This window comes from Homo sapiens, chromosome 1 (genome assembly GCF_000001405.40).
Source record: "Homo sapiens chromosome 1, GRCh38.p14 Primary Assembly".
In the NCBI taxonomy this organism is placed as follows: domain Eukaryota; kingdom Metazoa; phylum Chordata; class Mammalia; order Primates; family Hominidae; genus Homo; species Homo sapiens.
In genome coordinates, this window is record NC_000001.11 from 235,954,465 (window position 1) to 235,970,145 (window position 15,681).

General features: G+C 43.1%; 2 long non-coding RNA genes across 6 annotated transcripts in view, besides 1 other annotated feature; one reads left to right on the forward strand and one right to left on the reverse strand.

Moving 5' to 3' along the window:
• The window catches only part of LOC105373215 (uncharacterized), a 66,658-nt gene extending 62,180 nt beyond the window's left edge, over positions 1-4,478 (forward strand). For 3 of the 5 annotated variants that reach the window (XR_001738537.2, XR_001738540.2, XR_001738542.2), the window contains one exon: positions 409-1,073. This is a non-coding gene — a long non-coding RNA (uncharacterized LOC105373215). Of the gene's footprint in view, positions 1-408; positions 1,074-1,646; positions 2,691-3,446 lie in introns of those variants that run through there. The other 2 variants (XR_001738539.2, XR_002958490.2) reach the window with 2 other exon arrangements.
• The window catches only part of LINC02768 (long intergenic non-protein coding RNA 2768), a 61,478-nt gene that overhangs the window by 43,431 nt on the left and 2,366 nt on the right, over positions 1-15,681 (reverse strand). The window contains exon 2 of the long non-coding RNA NR_183724.1: positions 3,418-3,539. This is a non-coding gene — a long non-coding RNA (long intergenic non-protein coding RNA 2768). The remainder of the gene's footprint in view (positions 1-3,417; positions 3,540-15,681) is intronic.
• Positions 14,571-14,771: a silencer, noted in NCBI's record as "peak781 fragment used in MPRA reporter construct". NCBI's record gives its function as "represses an SCP1 promoter by STARR-seq MPRAs in K562 erythroleukemia cells {active_cell/tissue: K562}" and the evidence as "EXISTENCE:reporter gene assay evidence [ECO:0000049][PMID:32103011]".

A 15,681-nucleotide genomic window follows, 5' to 3' on the forward strand; every position in this document is an offset into this window, starting at 1 on the left:
GTGGCCTGTGTCTGTAGTCCCAGTGACTCAAGGGAATGAGGTTGGAGGATTGTTTGAGCCCAGGAATTCAAGGCTGCAGTAAGCTATGATCATGCCACTGCACTCCAGCCTGGGTAACAGAGCGAGACTCCAACTCAAAAACAAGCACCCCAGTGGAGGGAAGGGTGGGGTGTGGAGGGGACGGGGAAGGTTGTTGGGTAAGGGGCAATAACAGGAGAAGGGAGAAGGAGAATCAGTATGAAGATCTCACCTACTCCATGGTCTCCACTAGGGAGCGTTCCGTCTCCTGCTGAGCCATTTGCACAGGTGCCCAGGAGAATCCCATTACTAGAGGGCAAAGGGCAGGGGGCCCCCCCACACCATGCTCTCACTGTTGCAGCCACAGCTTCCTCTTTGTCACTTTCACAGGCTACCTTCATCCCCAAACAGGAACTGCTGCAAGGCCCGCAGCAGCCATGGGTGAGTGGCTCTGGAGATGGGGTAAGTGGCCTACGCACCCCAGAGGAACAGCTGGCAGCCTAGTCTTCGGGCAGCAGCTCCACTCAGCCCTGGGGAATGACAGATACAGGTGTGTTCCCTCAGGTGCATATGTGCATGTGCTTGTGTGCAACTTCCTCCTCTGCTCTCATTCCTGCAAGGTGCATTCTCAGAAGGCTGTTACTCCACAGTCACTACGGTTGTGAAGCGGAACCAGACAACTTCCCATTTTCGAGGTTCTACAATTGGCAATATGGGAAAATCTTACCCCATTACCACCCAACTCGATTCTTTCAATGCAAGCTTGTCTAACCCATAGCCTGCAGGCCACATGTGACCCAGGATGACTTTGGATGTGGCCCAGTGCAAATTCGTAAACTTTCTTAAAATATTATAAGATTGTTTTGCAATACATCAGTATCGTTAGCGTTAGTGTATTTTATATGTGGCCCAAGACAATTCTTCTTCTGATGTGGCCGAGGGAAGCCAAAAGATTGGATACTCCTGCGTAAGGGGGAAATGCATGTTTATAGTCATATATATATATTTTTTTTTTCTAATTTTTTTTTTGCACCCAGTGCAGTGGCACAATCATAGCTTGCTGCAGACTCAAACTCCTGGGCTCAAGTCATTCTCCCACCTCAGCCTCTGATTAAACCATCCTCTTACCTCAGCCTCCTTAGTAGCTAGGACTACAGGTGTAAGCCACCACGCCTTGCTAATTTTTAGATTTTTTGTAGAGACAGGGTCTCACTATGTTGCCCAGGCTATTCTCAAATTCCTGGGCTCAAATGATCCTCCCACCTCAACCTCCCAAAGTGCTGGGATTACAGGCATGAGCCACCACGTCCAGCTGCTTATAGTAAAATATCCTAATGACTATAGACAATAATGTAAGATGAAAAGTCAAAGTCCTCATTAATCTGACCATGATCACTGTTATCCTCCCTGGAGAGAGTCACTGTTAAGAATTTCTTGGATCGTCTTCCAGGCCTTCCCTAAGTGCAAATACACATAAGTCTTTGTTTGTATAAAAATAGGCCATAAAATATACACAGTTCTGTGACTTCCTTACTCACTTACGTCTGTATCTTGAACATATTTCCAGGTCACTATAGAGAATCCAATCTCTCTTTTGTTTGCAATCAATCTCTCTTCTCTTTTTTAAGACAACCAGTTATGCCAGTGAAGTGCCCTAAACTAGAGATAGCTGGGGCGCTGTCAGCCACCTTAACAGTGAGAAGAAGCAACAGGATGAAGTGGAAACAGCGTCACACAGATGGAGCCTCGAATCCCAGCATGCTAGCCATGTGTCATCTTCATAGTCTTCCTAACGTCTGTGGCCTCAGATGCCACATCAGTAAATGGCACACCATATGTGATTTAGGCTAAGGGCCTGAGTGTAATAGTTGCTTAGGAATTATAGCCCTTCTTAAATAAATGGAGAAACAGTCCATGTTCATGGATTGGAAGCCTCAATGTTATTAAGATGGCAAATCTCCCCAGAGTGACCTGTAGATGCAACACAATCCCTATCAAAATCCCAGCAGGCTTTTCACTCCTTTTTAATAAGGACACCGGTCATATTGTATTAAGGTCCATCCTAATGACCTCATCTTAACTCAGCTACATCTGCAAACACCTTAATCCAAATATGACATTCTGAGGTACTGGGATTAGGGCTTCAAAATATCTTTTTGGGGGAACACAAGTCAACCCATAACAGATAATTAACACAAATACATGGAAAACTATCCCATATTCATGGATTGGAAGTACTAATAGTATTTAAATGTCCATATTACCCAGAGGTCTAGAGATTCAATGCAATCCCTATCAAAATACCCATAATGTTCTTCACAGAAGTGGGAGTAAACAATCTTAAAATTCATGTGGAAATGCAAAAGACCCTGGATAGCCAAAGCAATCGAGTAAAAGGAACAAAGCTGGAGGTCTCACCACAACACATGGTTAAGGAGTTAAAATGGGACATTTGAAACTTTATATTACTACAGAGTTTAATGCAAGATTCATGCAGATTTTTAAAAGATAAACCACGACACGTCACAGGAATATCTAGCTTTTGATATGTCCCCATGCCTTCCACAGGTACCCTCCTACAGCTCCCCTCCACTGTCCCCTCCCTAAGGGGGTACAATTCAGCTCTTTTGCCCTAAAGAGCATTTGGATGGAAAGTTTGAGATGTCCTAACAGTTGAGTGCTACTATAATGTTTATTTCATGGGGGATGAGGAGGTGGGGAAGGAGGGGTGGAAACAGGCGGGAAGGAGGGGTGGAAACAGGCTGGGAGGAGGGGCCAGAGGGTACCTACAAAAGCTATATATTATCCTTTATTTTGCTTGACCAAAGCAACCAACAAAATGTAACTCCAGGTTTCTAAGAGCTAATTTTAGAATACTTATTAAGATTCCTCCCCATTCCCTCAGCACCCTATCAAATACTAAGACTGGCACTATATTAATACAGGTGACATCAAAGGACTATAATCCATCTATCTTTTTGACCCTTGGCCCATTTGCCTTATTCAGAACAGCAAAGTTGTGGTTATCGGATGCCACCAAGTGCATCTGATGCTATGTCCCCAAAAGCTCCTCTACAATTGTGTCCATTGGCACCACTGGTCTTGTTGGTAATCACAGTGGGAAAAGCCCCTGATGAGCTGGATGTCACTTTATTGCTAACAACCTCTTTCTCCCTCAAATTCTTGTTTACCCTCAAAAGTGACTCTCTACATTGGCGTTGACTTTGGGAAAATGCCCTGAGCTGTAGGTACTCTTAAGAGTTGTGCACTTTTCAGAATGTACATTATCCTTCAAGAGATTGTTTATTTAAAAAATGTATTTATAAATGAGATTAGACTGTAATATCACTGACGACTAAACAGTGGTCATTATTTTAGAGTGTTGCAGTCAGCGCTAACCTTTTTTTTTTGTGCATCGATTTTTCCAGTGTTCTGAGATCTTGTTACTGGTGGCGAATCCATACAGGTCTGCAGCAACCTCAATTCTTGCCTCTTCAGAACACAGAATTCAACCAAGGGACCTAAGGCAGAAGGAGAGACCAAGGCAAGTTTAGAGCTGGAGTGAAAATTTCTTGAAAAGTTTTAGGATAGGAGTGAAAGGAAGTTAAGTACACTTGGGAGAGGGCCAAGAGGGCGGCTTGAGAGACCAAGTGCATTGTTTGACCTTTGACTTGGGGTTTAATACTTCAGCATGCTTCCAGGGGCTTGCGGTCCTTCTCCTCTGATTCTTCCCTTGGGTGGGCTGTCCGCATGCGCGGTGGCCTGCCAGCGCTCAGGAGGGGCCTCAAGTGCAGTGCGTTTACCAAAATTGTGCACAAGCTCACTTGAGGCGCTCTTTCCTTACCAGTCGAGTGTTACTAGAGGAAGGTCGTATACCAGTTAAACTCCACCAGTTTGCCTCTTAGTGTGCGTGCTTAGCCTACTCGCCCACCTCCTGAGATCTTATCGGGAAGCTGCTCATCACCAGTTTCAGGTATTTTCTGTCTATTGGGAGACAACATTTCCCAGGCACTTGCTACAACCAATTATTATTCTAGACAGTTAACAACTGCCTGACCATCACTAGATGGTCGCCTGACATTCCTGGTGTGTGCAGGGGGCCCTCTCCTGCCCTGCTTGTGTCTGACTAGCTACCTACTGTAACAATCTCATGAAATAACTTTTGTCAAACAACTGGAACAATTTATCGTAGATGGAAATACCTATTACTGTCTACAGCTTGTCAGGGATGGGTGCATGTGTTTGAAACTCAGAGAGGATGTTTTACCTCAGGAGATTACCTAATGATGTATAAACCCTTTTACTCACATGGCCTAGTGATATGATTTCATAGTCTAAGATTTTCAATGAGTTAAAAAAGCTGATGCATTTTATTTTGTCTTCCATGAATCCTTGCTTCTCTAGCATATAGATTTTTTTTTTTTTTAGCTCATGTAAGAACAGGGGTCGGGTGCAGTGGCTCATGCCTGTAATCCGAGCACTTTGGGAGGCCGAGATGGGCGGATCACCTGAGGTCAGGAGTTCGAAACCGGCCTGGCCAACATGGTGAAACCCCGTCTCTACTAAAAATATAAAAATTAGCCAGGCGTGGTGGTGCACGCCTGTAATCCCAGCTATCCGGGAGGCCGAGGCAGGAGAATTGCTTGAACTTGGAAGGCAGAGGTTGCAGTGAGCAGAGATCATGCCACTGTACTCCAGCCTATGCAAGAGAGTGAGGAAAAAAAAAAAAAAAAGAATTGGGGCTGGACACAGTAGCTCTGTCTTGGAAAAAAGCTCTGTCTTGGGAAAAAAAAAAAAAAAGAAGAAGAATTGGGGCTGGACACAGTAGCTCATGCCTGTAATCCCTGTACTTTGGAAGGCCGAGGTGGGCGGATCACTTGAGCTCAGGAATTTGAGACTAGCCTGGGCAATATGGTGAAACCCCGTCTCTACTAAAAATACAAAAATTGGCCAGTTGCGGTGGCTCACGCCTGTAATCCCAGCACTTTGGGAGGCCGAGGTGGGTGGATCACGAGGTCAGGAGTTCAAAACCAGCCTGGCCAAGATGATGAAACCCCATCTCTACTAAAAATACAAAAATTAGCTGGGTGTGGTGGCAGGGGGCCTGTAATCCCAGCTACTCCGGAGGCTGAGGCAGAGAATTGCTTGAACCTAGGAGGCGGAGGTTGCAGTGAGCCGAGATCATGCCACTGCACTCCAGCCTGGGTGACAGAGCGAGACTTGGTCTCAAAAAAAAAAAAAAAAAATTAGCTGGGCATGGTGCCATGTAGCTGTGGTCCCAGCTACTCAGGAGGCTGAGGTGGGAGGATTGCTTGAGCTGGGGAGGTGGGGGTTACAGTGAGTGGAGATCATGCCATAGCACTCCAGCCTGGGTGACGGAGTGAGACCCCATCTCCAAAAAAAAAAAAAAAAAAAAAATAGAAAAGAAAAATAATTGGGGCTTAAAACTTTGGGTCTCTGTTTTCAGTGTTCAAAAAGTCTCTGGATTCATTGATGCTAATGAGGTTGATGAACATTTCAGAACCTGTCTGTTCCTTCTGTTTTATGATCGTGACTGAGTTTTCTGGAGCTGTCAGGTAGGAGCTAGGCCACACATCTGGGGCTCGGCACCAGAAAAGGTAGGCTGGAATTGCAGGAAGACAGGAGAAGCTACTGGTTCTTTGCTGAGAATGTTAGAGCCGTGTTCTCTCCGGGTTAGAGAGCACAGGATGAGCGCTGTGCCTGGGTACCAGTCATTCTGTGAGGAAATGATGGGACAGCCCTCTGCCTCTTCCCTTCCTGCAGCACAGGCAGGGATATAATCCATAATTAATGGTCATTCCTCAGGAATGGAGTTCAAGGAGCCTGTCTTTCCCGTCCCCATATTCCCCCTTAAAGAGTGGCCCATTGTTGACAGCCATATCTGAGACTGTTTAGGCAGCATCTCCAGACCTTTGCACACACTATTTATTCATTTATCAGGAATGCCCACTCTTCTATCTGCTTGGCAAACTTCTCTTTCCCTTCAAGACCCAGCTCAGGCACAACATTCCCTATCCCCCGATTAACCTCTGCACCCTGCTTTAAGCCCAACATTTGGCACAAAGCAGGTGTCCAATGAATGCATGACACATGCATGCACTTTCAGGAAAGAAGACATGGCATGCAGAAAGAGTGGGCTTTGGCAACTGGAGAAAGCTCAGTTTGAATTCTAGACCTGAAATTTACCAACTGTGAGACCTTAAGTGGCTTAACCTCCCTGTGTCTCCATGTAATCATTCATGAAATGGTAACAGCAATATTTATCCCCATAGACTTAATAAAGGTAAGATCATTTTGTGAATGTTAAAGCACTATACAAAAGTAAGAAACAGCAAGCACTTACTGTGTTCTTGCTATATGCAATGCACTTTCACTGATCTCATTTAGCTCCACAATAAAAATGAGATGAATAGTAACATTCTAATTTTACAAAAAAGCAAAAGGAGAGTCAAAGAGGTAAAGGGACTGGCCCAGCAGATGGCAGGCCCAGACTCGCTCTCAGGTTCCTCCCACTCCAAGTCCTATGCTCCTTGTGCACAAGGGTGGAACACACTCTGCCTGGTGCGCTACAGGAAAGAGCACAATGATCTGAGATGATGAGCCCAGCAGCTCATCTACAGTTGGGTGTAGCTATAGGGCTGACAATCCAACTCTCGCTTATGAATTATTCAAGTCTTAACCCCATCGGACCTCTAAACACACCAAGTATAACTGTTGATCTCAAATTTCACAAATAGTTCTTTTCCCTCTCCTAAAGGATTCCACATGTATCTCAATGCCACAAAGGTGTTTCCTGCTCAAATTAGGCTACTTCCCAATAGGACTGAGTTCACTTTTTTTTTTTTTTTTTTTTTTTGAGATGGAGTCTCTCTCTGTCCCCAGGCTGGAGAGCAGTGGCGCAATCTCGGCTCACTGCAACCTCTGCCTGCCGGGTTCAAGCGATTCTCCTGCGTCAGCCTCCTGAGTAGCTGGGACTACAGGCATGCACCACCATACCTGGCTAATTTTTGTATTTTTAGTAGAGATGGGGTTTCACCATATTGACCAGGATAGTCTCCATCTCTTGACCTCGTGATCTGCCCCCCTCGGCCTCCCAAAGTGCTGGGATTAGAGGCCTGAGCCAGCACGCCCGGCCGAGTCTCGCTCTTGTCACTCAGGCTGGAGTGCAATGGCAAGATCTTGGCTCACTGCAACCTCTGCCTTTAGGGTTCAAGCAATTCTCCTGCCTCAGCCTCCCGAATAGCTGGGATTTCAGGCACCTGCCACCACACTGGCTAATTTTTGTATTTTTAGTAGAGATGGGGTTTCGCCTTGTTGGCCAGGCCGCTCTTGAACTCCAGACCTCAAGTGATACGCCCACCTCGGCCTCCCAAAATGCTGGGATTACAGGCACACGCCACCACGCCTGGCCAGAAGGCAGTTATGAATCTGATCACTTGCTAAAATGTGTTCCATGGCTGAGTAGAGACTGAGCCACAGCTTGCGTCCTTCTTCTCGTTTTTCCTGTTGAGTGAATGGATGAAAGTTGTTTCTGAAGAGAGAAGAGGCCATATGTTGCTCACAGGTCATATGGAAGACCCACCCTGTGGAATCAAGAGTTGCAAGTGCTGAAGCTGTGACATTCTACCCAGAGGAAGGGATTTTTCCTCATTTTCTATTCACATTTTCCAAATAAGAAAACAGAGTAGGGGCCAAGGAAGTGTTTGGTTTCTGGGTTTTTAATATCAGTTGTCCTGGCAAATGCCAGTTATCCATGGCTGTGTAATGAATCATCCCTAAACTTAGGACCAAAAATAAGAGCAATCACTTTTTTACAGGTTGAGTATCCCTTATCCAAAATGCTTGGGAACAGAGGACTAGATTGCAGCTCCGACTCGGATGGACAGAGCAGTGTGTGGAGGCTCACATCATGAATTTTAGCTCCAGAATGACTGCAAGAACAAACCAGGAATCCTGAGAGGACCCACAGACCCAATGAAGGAAGCGGGCTGCTCCTGCAGGACCCGGGAGTCACCCCAAGTACTGTGCTGGTATCCATGGCTGAGAGACCCATAGATGGTTCACATCACAGGACTCTGTGTAGACAACCCCCAGTACCAGCCTGGAGCCAGGTAGACTCGCTGGGTGGCTAGACCCAGAAGAGAGGCAACAATCACTGCAGTTCGGCTCACAGGAAGCCACATCCATAGGAAAAGGAGGAGCATACTACATCAAGGGAACACCCCGTGGGACAAAAGAATCTGAACAACAGTCTTCAGCCCTAGACCTTCCCTCTGACAGAGCCTACCCAAATGAGAAGGAAACAGAAAACCAACCCTGGTAATATGACAAAACAAGGCTCTTCAACACCCCCCAAAAATCACACTAGCTCACCAGCAATGGATCCAAATCCAGAAGAAATCCCTGATTGACCTGAAAAAGAATTCAGGTGTTTAGTTACTAAGCTAATTAGGGAGGGACCAGAGAAAGGCAAAGTCCAATGCAAGGAAATCCAAAAAAAATGATACAAGAAGTGAAGGGAGAAATATTCAAGGAAATAGATAGCAAAAAGAAAAAACAATCAAAACTTCAGGAAACATTGGACACGCTTACAGAACGCAAAATGCTCTGGAAAGTCTCAGCAGTAGAATTGAGCAAATAGAAGAAAGAAATTCAGAGCTCAAAGACAAGGTCTTTGAATTAACCCAATCCAACAAAGATAAAGAAAAAAAGAAAAAGAAAATATGAGCAAACCCTCGAAGAAGTTGGGGATTATGTTAAATGACTAAACCTAAGAATAATCAGTGTTCCTGAGGAAGAAGAGAAATCTAAAATTTTGGAAAACATATTTCAGGGAATAATCAAGGAAAACTTCCCCGGCCTTGCTAGAGACGTAGACATCCAAATACAAGAAGCACAAAGAGCACCTAGGAAATTCATCTCAAAAAGATCTTCGCCTAGGCACATTGTCATCAGGTTATCCAAAGTTAAGATGAAGGAAAGAATCTTAAGAGCTGTGAGACAGAAGTACCAGGTAACCTATAAAAGAAAACCTATCAGATTAACAGCAGATTTCTCAGCAGGAACCCTACAAGCTAGAAGGGATTGGGGCCCTATCTTCAGCCTCCTCAAACAAAACAGTTATCAGCCAAGAATTTCGTATCCAGTGACACAAAGCATCATATATGAAGGAAAGATACAGTCGTTTTTAGACAAACAATGCTGAGAGAATTCACCATCACCAAGCCACCACTAGAAGAACTGCTGAAAGGAGCTCTAAATCTTGTAACAAATCCTGGAAACACATCAAAACAGAACCTCTTTAAAGCATAAATCACACAGGGCCTATAAAACAAACATGCAAGTTAAAAAGCAAAAGCCAAAACCAAAAAAAACCTAAGTACACAGGCAACAAAGAGCATGATGAATGCAATGGTACCTCACACCTCAATAGTTACGTGGATGTAAATGGCCTAAGTGCTCCACCTAAAAGATACAGAACCACAGAATGGACAAGAACTCACCAACCGTCTGCCTGCCTTCAGGAGATTCACCTAATACGTAAGGACTCACATCTCACATAAACTTACAGGGGTGGAAAAAGGCATTTCAGCCAGGCTTGGTGGCTCATGCCACCCAGCACTTTGGGAGGCCGAGGTGGGCGGATCATGAGGTCAGGAGTTCAAGACCAACCTGGCCAGCATGGTGAAACCCCGTCTCTACTAAAAATACAAAAAATTAGCTTGGCATGGTGGCACGTGCCTGTAGTCGCAGCTACTCAGGAGCCTGAGGCAGGAGAATTGCTTGAACCCGGCAGGCAGAGGTTGCAGTGAACCAAGGTTGCACCACTGCACTCCACCTGGGCAACAGAGAGAGACTTTGTCTCAAAAAAAAAAAAAAAAAAAAAAGGCAGTTTTTGCAAATAAGACAACAAAAACGAGCAGAGGTAGCTATTCTTATATCAGACAAAACAAACTTTAAAGCAACAGCAGTTAAAAGAGACAAACAGGAACATTATATACTGATAAAAGGCCTTGTCCAATAGGAAAATATCACAATCCTAAACATATATGCACCTAACACTGGAGCTCCCAAATTTATAAAACAATTACTAATAGACCTAAGAAATGAGACAAACAGCAACATAATAATAATGGGGGACTTCAATACTCCACTGACAGCATCAGACAGGTCAAGACAGAAAGTTAACAAAGAAACAATGGATTTAAACTATACCTTGGAACAAATGGACTCAACCGATATATATAGAACATTTCATACAACAACTACAGAATACACATTCTATTAAAAGCACATGGAACTTTCTCCAAGATAGATCATATGATAGGCAGCAAAGAGCCTCAATAAATTTAAGAAAACTGAAATTATATCAAGCGCTCTATCAGACCACAGTGGAATAAAACTGGAAATCAACTCCAAAAGGAACCTTCAAAACCATGCAAATACATGGAAATTAAATAACCTGCTCCTGAATGATCATTGGGGCAAAAACAAAATCAAGATGAAAATTTAAAAATTCTTCGAACTGAACGACAATAATGACACAACCAATCAAAACCTCTGGGATACAGCAAAGGCGGTCTTAAGAGGAAAGTTCATAGCCCTAAATGCCTACATCAAAAAGACTGAAAGAGCACAAACTGACATTCTAAGGTCACACCTCAAGGAACTAGAGAAACAAGAACAAAGCAAACCCAAATCCAGCAGAAGAAAGGAAATAACCAAGATCAGAGCAGAACTAAATCAAATTGAAATTCAAAACAGTCAAATGATACATGTAACAAAAAGCTGGTTCATTGAAAAGATAAATAAAATTGATAGACCCTTAGCAAGATTAACCAAGAAAAGAAGAGAGAAACTCCAAATAACCTCATTAAGAAATGAAACAGTAGGTATTACAACTGACACCACTGAAATACAAAAGATCATTCAAGGCTACTGTGAATACATTTACAGACATAAACTAGAAAGTCTAGAAGAGACAGATACATTCCTGGAAAAATACAACCCTCCTAGCTTAAATCAGGAAGAATTAGATACCCTGAATAGACCACTAACAAGCAGTGAGATTGAAATGGTAATTTAAAAATTACCAACAAAAAAAAAGTCCAGGGTCAGATGGATTCCCAGCAGAATTCTACCAGACATTCAAAGAAGAATTGGTACCAATCAATCCTTTTGACACAATTCCACAAGATAGAGAAAGAGGGAACCCTCCCTAACTCATTATATGAAGCCAGCATCACCCTAATACCAAAACCAGGAAAGGACGTAACCAAAAAAGAAAACTACAGACCGATATCCTTGACGAACACAGAAGCTAAAATCCTTAACAAAATACTAGCTAACCAAATCCAACAACATATCAAAAAGATAATCCACCATGATCAAGTGGGTTTCATACCAGGGATGCAGGGATGGTTTAACATATGTAAGCCAATAAATGTGATACACCACATAAAATAGGATTAAAAACAAAAATCACATGATCATCTCAATAGATGCAGAAAAAGCATTTAACAAAATCCAGCATCCTTTATGATTAAAATTCTCAGCAAAATTGGCATACAAGGGACATACCTTAATGTAATAAAAGCCGTCTATGACAAACCTACAGCCAACATAATACTGAATGGGGAAAAGTTGAAAGGATTCCCTCTGAGAATTAAAACAAGACAAGGATGCCCACTCTCACCACTCCCCTTCAACATAGTACTGGAAGTCCTAGCCAGAGCAATCAGACAAGAGGAAGAAATAAAGGGCATCCAAATCAGTAAAGAGGAAGTCAAACTTTCACTGTTTGCTGCCGATATGATCGTTTACCTAGAAAACCCTAAAGACTCCTCCAGAAACCTCTTACAACTGATAAGAGAATTCAGCAAAGTTTCCGGATACAAGATTAATGTACAAAAATCAGTAGCTTTTCTAACACCAACAATGACCAACCGGAGAATCAAATTAAAAAAACCTAACCTCTTTTACAATAGCTGCAAAAAAATTACAATACTTAGGAATATACCTAACCACGGAGGTGAAAGACCTCTACAAGGAAAACTACAAAACACTGCTGAAAGAAATCATAGATGGCACAAACAAATGGAAACACATCCCATGGTCCTAGATGGGTAGAATCAATATTGTGAAAATGACCACACTACCAAAAGCAATTTATAAATTCAATGCAATCCCCATCAAAATACCACCGTCATTCTTCACAGAATTAGAAAAAACAATCCTAAAATTCATATGGAACCAAAAAAGAGCCCACATAGCCAAGCAAGACTAAGCAAAAAGAACAAATCTGGAGGCATCACACTACCCGATTTCAAATTACATGTCCGTAGTCACCAAAACAGCATGGTGCTGGTATGAAAATAGGCACATAGACCAATGGAACAGAATAGAGAACCCAGAAATAAACCCAAATACTTACAGCCAACTGATCTTCAAAAAAGCAAACAAAATCATAAAGTGGGGAAAGGACACCCTTTTCAACAACTGGTGCTGGGATAATTGTGTAGCCACCTGTAGGCAAATGAAACTGGATCCTCATCTCTCAGCTTACACAAAAATCTACTCAAGATGGACTAAGGACTTAAATCTAAGACCTGAAACCTTACAAATTCTAGAAGATAACATTGAAAAAACCCTTCTAGACATTGGCTTAGGCAAGGATTTCATGACCAAGAACCCAAAAGCAAATGCAATAGAAACAAAGATAAATAGCTGGGACTTAATTAAACTAAAGAGCTTTGCACGGCAAAAGGAACAGTCAGCAGAGTAAACAGACAATCCACAGAGTGGGAGAAAATCTTCACAGTCTAGACATCTGACAAAGGACCAATATCCAGAATCTACAATGAACTCAAACAATATCAGCAAGAAATAAACAAACAATCCCATCAAAAAGTGGGCTAAGGACAATAGACAATTCTCAGAAGAAGATATACAAATAGCCAAAAAACTTATGAAAAAATACTCAACATCACTAATGATCAGGGAAATGCAAATGAAAACCACAATGTGATACCACCTAACTCCTGCAAGAATGGCCATAATAAAAAAATCAAAAAACGGCCGGGCGCGGTGGCTCACGCCTGTAATCCCAGCACTTTGAGTGGCCGAGGCGGGTGGATCACGAGGTCAGGAGTTCAAGACCAGCCTGGCCAAGATGGTGAAATCCCGTCTCAACTAAAAATACAAAAAAATTTAGCCAGGCCTGGTGGTGGGTGCCTGTAATCCCAGCTACTTGGGAGGCTGAGGCAGAGAATTGCTTGAACCCAGGAGGCAGAGGTTGCAGTGAGCCGAGATCGCGCCATCACACTCCAGCCTGAGTGACAGAGCAAGACTTCATCTCAAAAAAAAAAAAAAAAAAAATTAAAAAACAGTAGATGTTGGTGTGGATGAGGTGATCAGGGAACAGTTCTACACTGCTGGTGGGAATGTAAACTAGTATGGCCTCTATGGAAAACCGTGTGGAGATTCCTTAAATAACTAAAAGTAGAACTACCATTGGATCCAGCAATCCTACTACTGGATATCTACCCTGAGGAAAAGTCATTATACAGAAAAGATACTTGCACATGCATGTTTATAGCAGCACAATTCACAATTGCAAAATTGTGGAACCAACCCAAATACCCACCAATCAACAAGTGGATAGAGATACTGTGAGATAGAAGATAGATAGATAGATGATAGATAGATATCTGGTGGGCATCCTCATCTAGATATCTATCATCTATCTATCTATCTATCTATCTATCTATCTATCTATCTATCTATCTATCTGATGGAATACTACTCAGCCAAAAAAAGGAATGAATTAATGGCATTCACAGTGATCTGGATGAGATTGGAGACTATTACTCTAAGTGAAGTAACCCAGGAATGGAAAACCAAACATCGTATATTCTTACTGATATCTAGGAGCTAAGCTATGAGGATGCAAAGGCATAATAATGATGCAATGGGTTTGGGGATTGGGCGGAAGGGTGGGAGGGGGGTGAGGGATAAAAGACTACAAATATGGTGCAGTGTATACTGCTTGGGTGATGAGTGCACCAAAATCCCACAAATCACCACTAAGGAACTTATTCATGTAACCAAATACCACCTGTTCCCCAATTACCTATGGAAAAAAACACCCAAAATGCTTGGGAACAGAAATGTTTTGGATTTTGGATTTTTTTTTAAATATTGGAATATTTGCGTTATACTCACCAGTTGAGCATCCCTGATCCAAAAATGAGAAATCCAAAATGTGCCAATATTCATTTCCTTTGAGCATGACCTTTGAGCATCATATCGGCACTCGAAGAGTTTTGAACTTTGGAGTATTTCAGATTTTATAAATTTTGGATTAGGGCTGCTCAGCCTGTTTTCTCTCTCATGGTCTGAAATTGACTGGGGTCTCCTGGACCATTCTTGTGAGACTGCGGTCAGACAGTGGCTTGGGCTGGAGTCACGGGGGCGGTCTCTTTGTTTGCATGTCTAGTGATTGATGTCTGCTGTAGGCTGAGGCTACAGTTGGAGCTGCCACCCCAGGCACATGGCCTCTTCATGTGGCCTGAGCTTCCTCCTATCACAGAACCGGAGAGAGAGAATCCCAAGAAGACTGGACGGAAGCTGTTTCACCTTGTATGACCCAGCCTCAGAACCCACATGTCATCCCCTCTGCTATAGTCATAGGCCCATCCAGATTCAAGGAGAGGGACATAGGCCCTAGTTCTTGGTGAGAGGAATGTCAATATCACATCGACACACCATTGTAAGAATATGTGGGGTGGGAGATTGTGTTCAGGCCATTTTGGAAAATACCATATGCCACAGGGTGCAGCCTGGACATTTTCCGCCTCATGACTTCTTGGCTGGTACTTTTGTTCTAATTCGTACTGAGCAGGAATTGACTACATGTAGATTAAAACCTTCCGTATGTCCCCAAATCCCCCAGAACAAAAAACCAACAAAAAAGCTGGGCGCAGTGGCTCACGCCTGTAACCAGCACTTTTTGAGAGGTTGAGGCTGGCAGATCATGAGGTCAGGAGTTCAAGACCAGCCTGGCCAACATGGTGAAACCCCATCTCTACTAAAAATACAAAACTTAGCCAGGTGTGGTGGCACATGCCTGTAATCCCAGCTGCTGGAGAGGCTGAGGCAGGAGAATAGCTTGAACCCAGGAGACAGAGGTTGCAGTGAGCCAAGATTGCAGTGAGCCAAGATCACGCCATTGCACTCCAGCCTGGGCAACAGAGCAAAACCCTGTCTCAAAAAAACAAACAAACAAACAAACAACAACAACAACAACAAACCCTTGGGGAATATTATTTGCAAAATAGACAACAAAAGGTTAATTAGCTTTAAAATGTAAAGGACACTTATAAATCAGTGAGATTCTCCCAATTAGAAAAAAGAACTGAGGACTAGAAGGACAATTGACAAAAGAACTTTAAGTGGCTAGTGTGCATTTCAAAAGTTTACCGCAACTTAAAGAGTGTAATTTTTTTTCTTTTTAGAGACTGAGCCTCAGTATGTTGCCCAGGATGGGCCTCAAACTCCTAGCTTCAAGCAGTCCTCCCATGTTGGCCTCCCAAAGTGCTGGGATTACAGGCGTGAGTCACTGCAACCAGCCAATAATGTAAA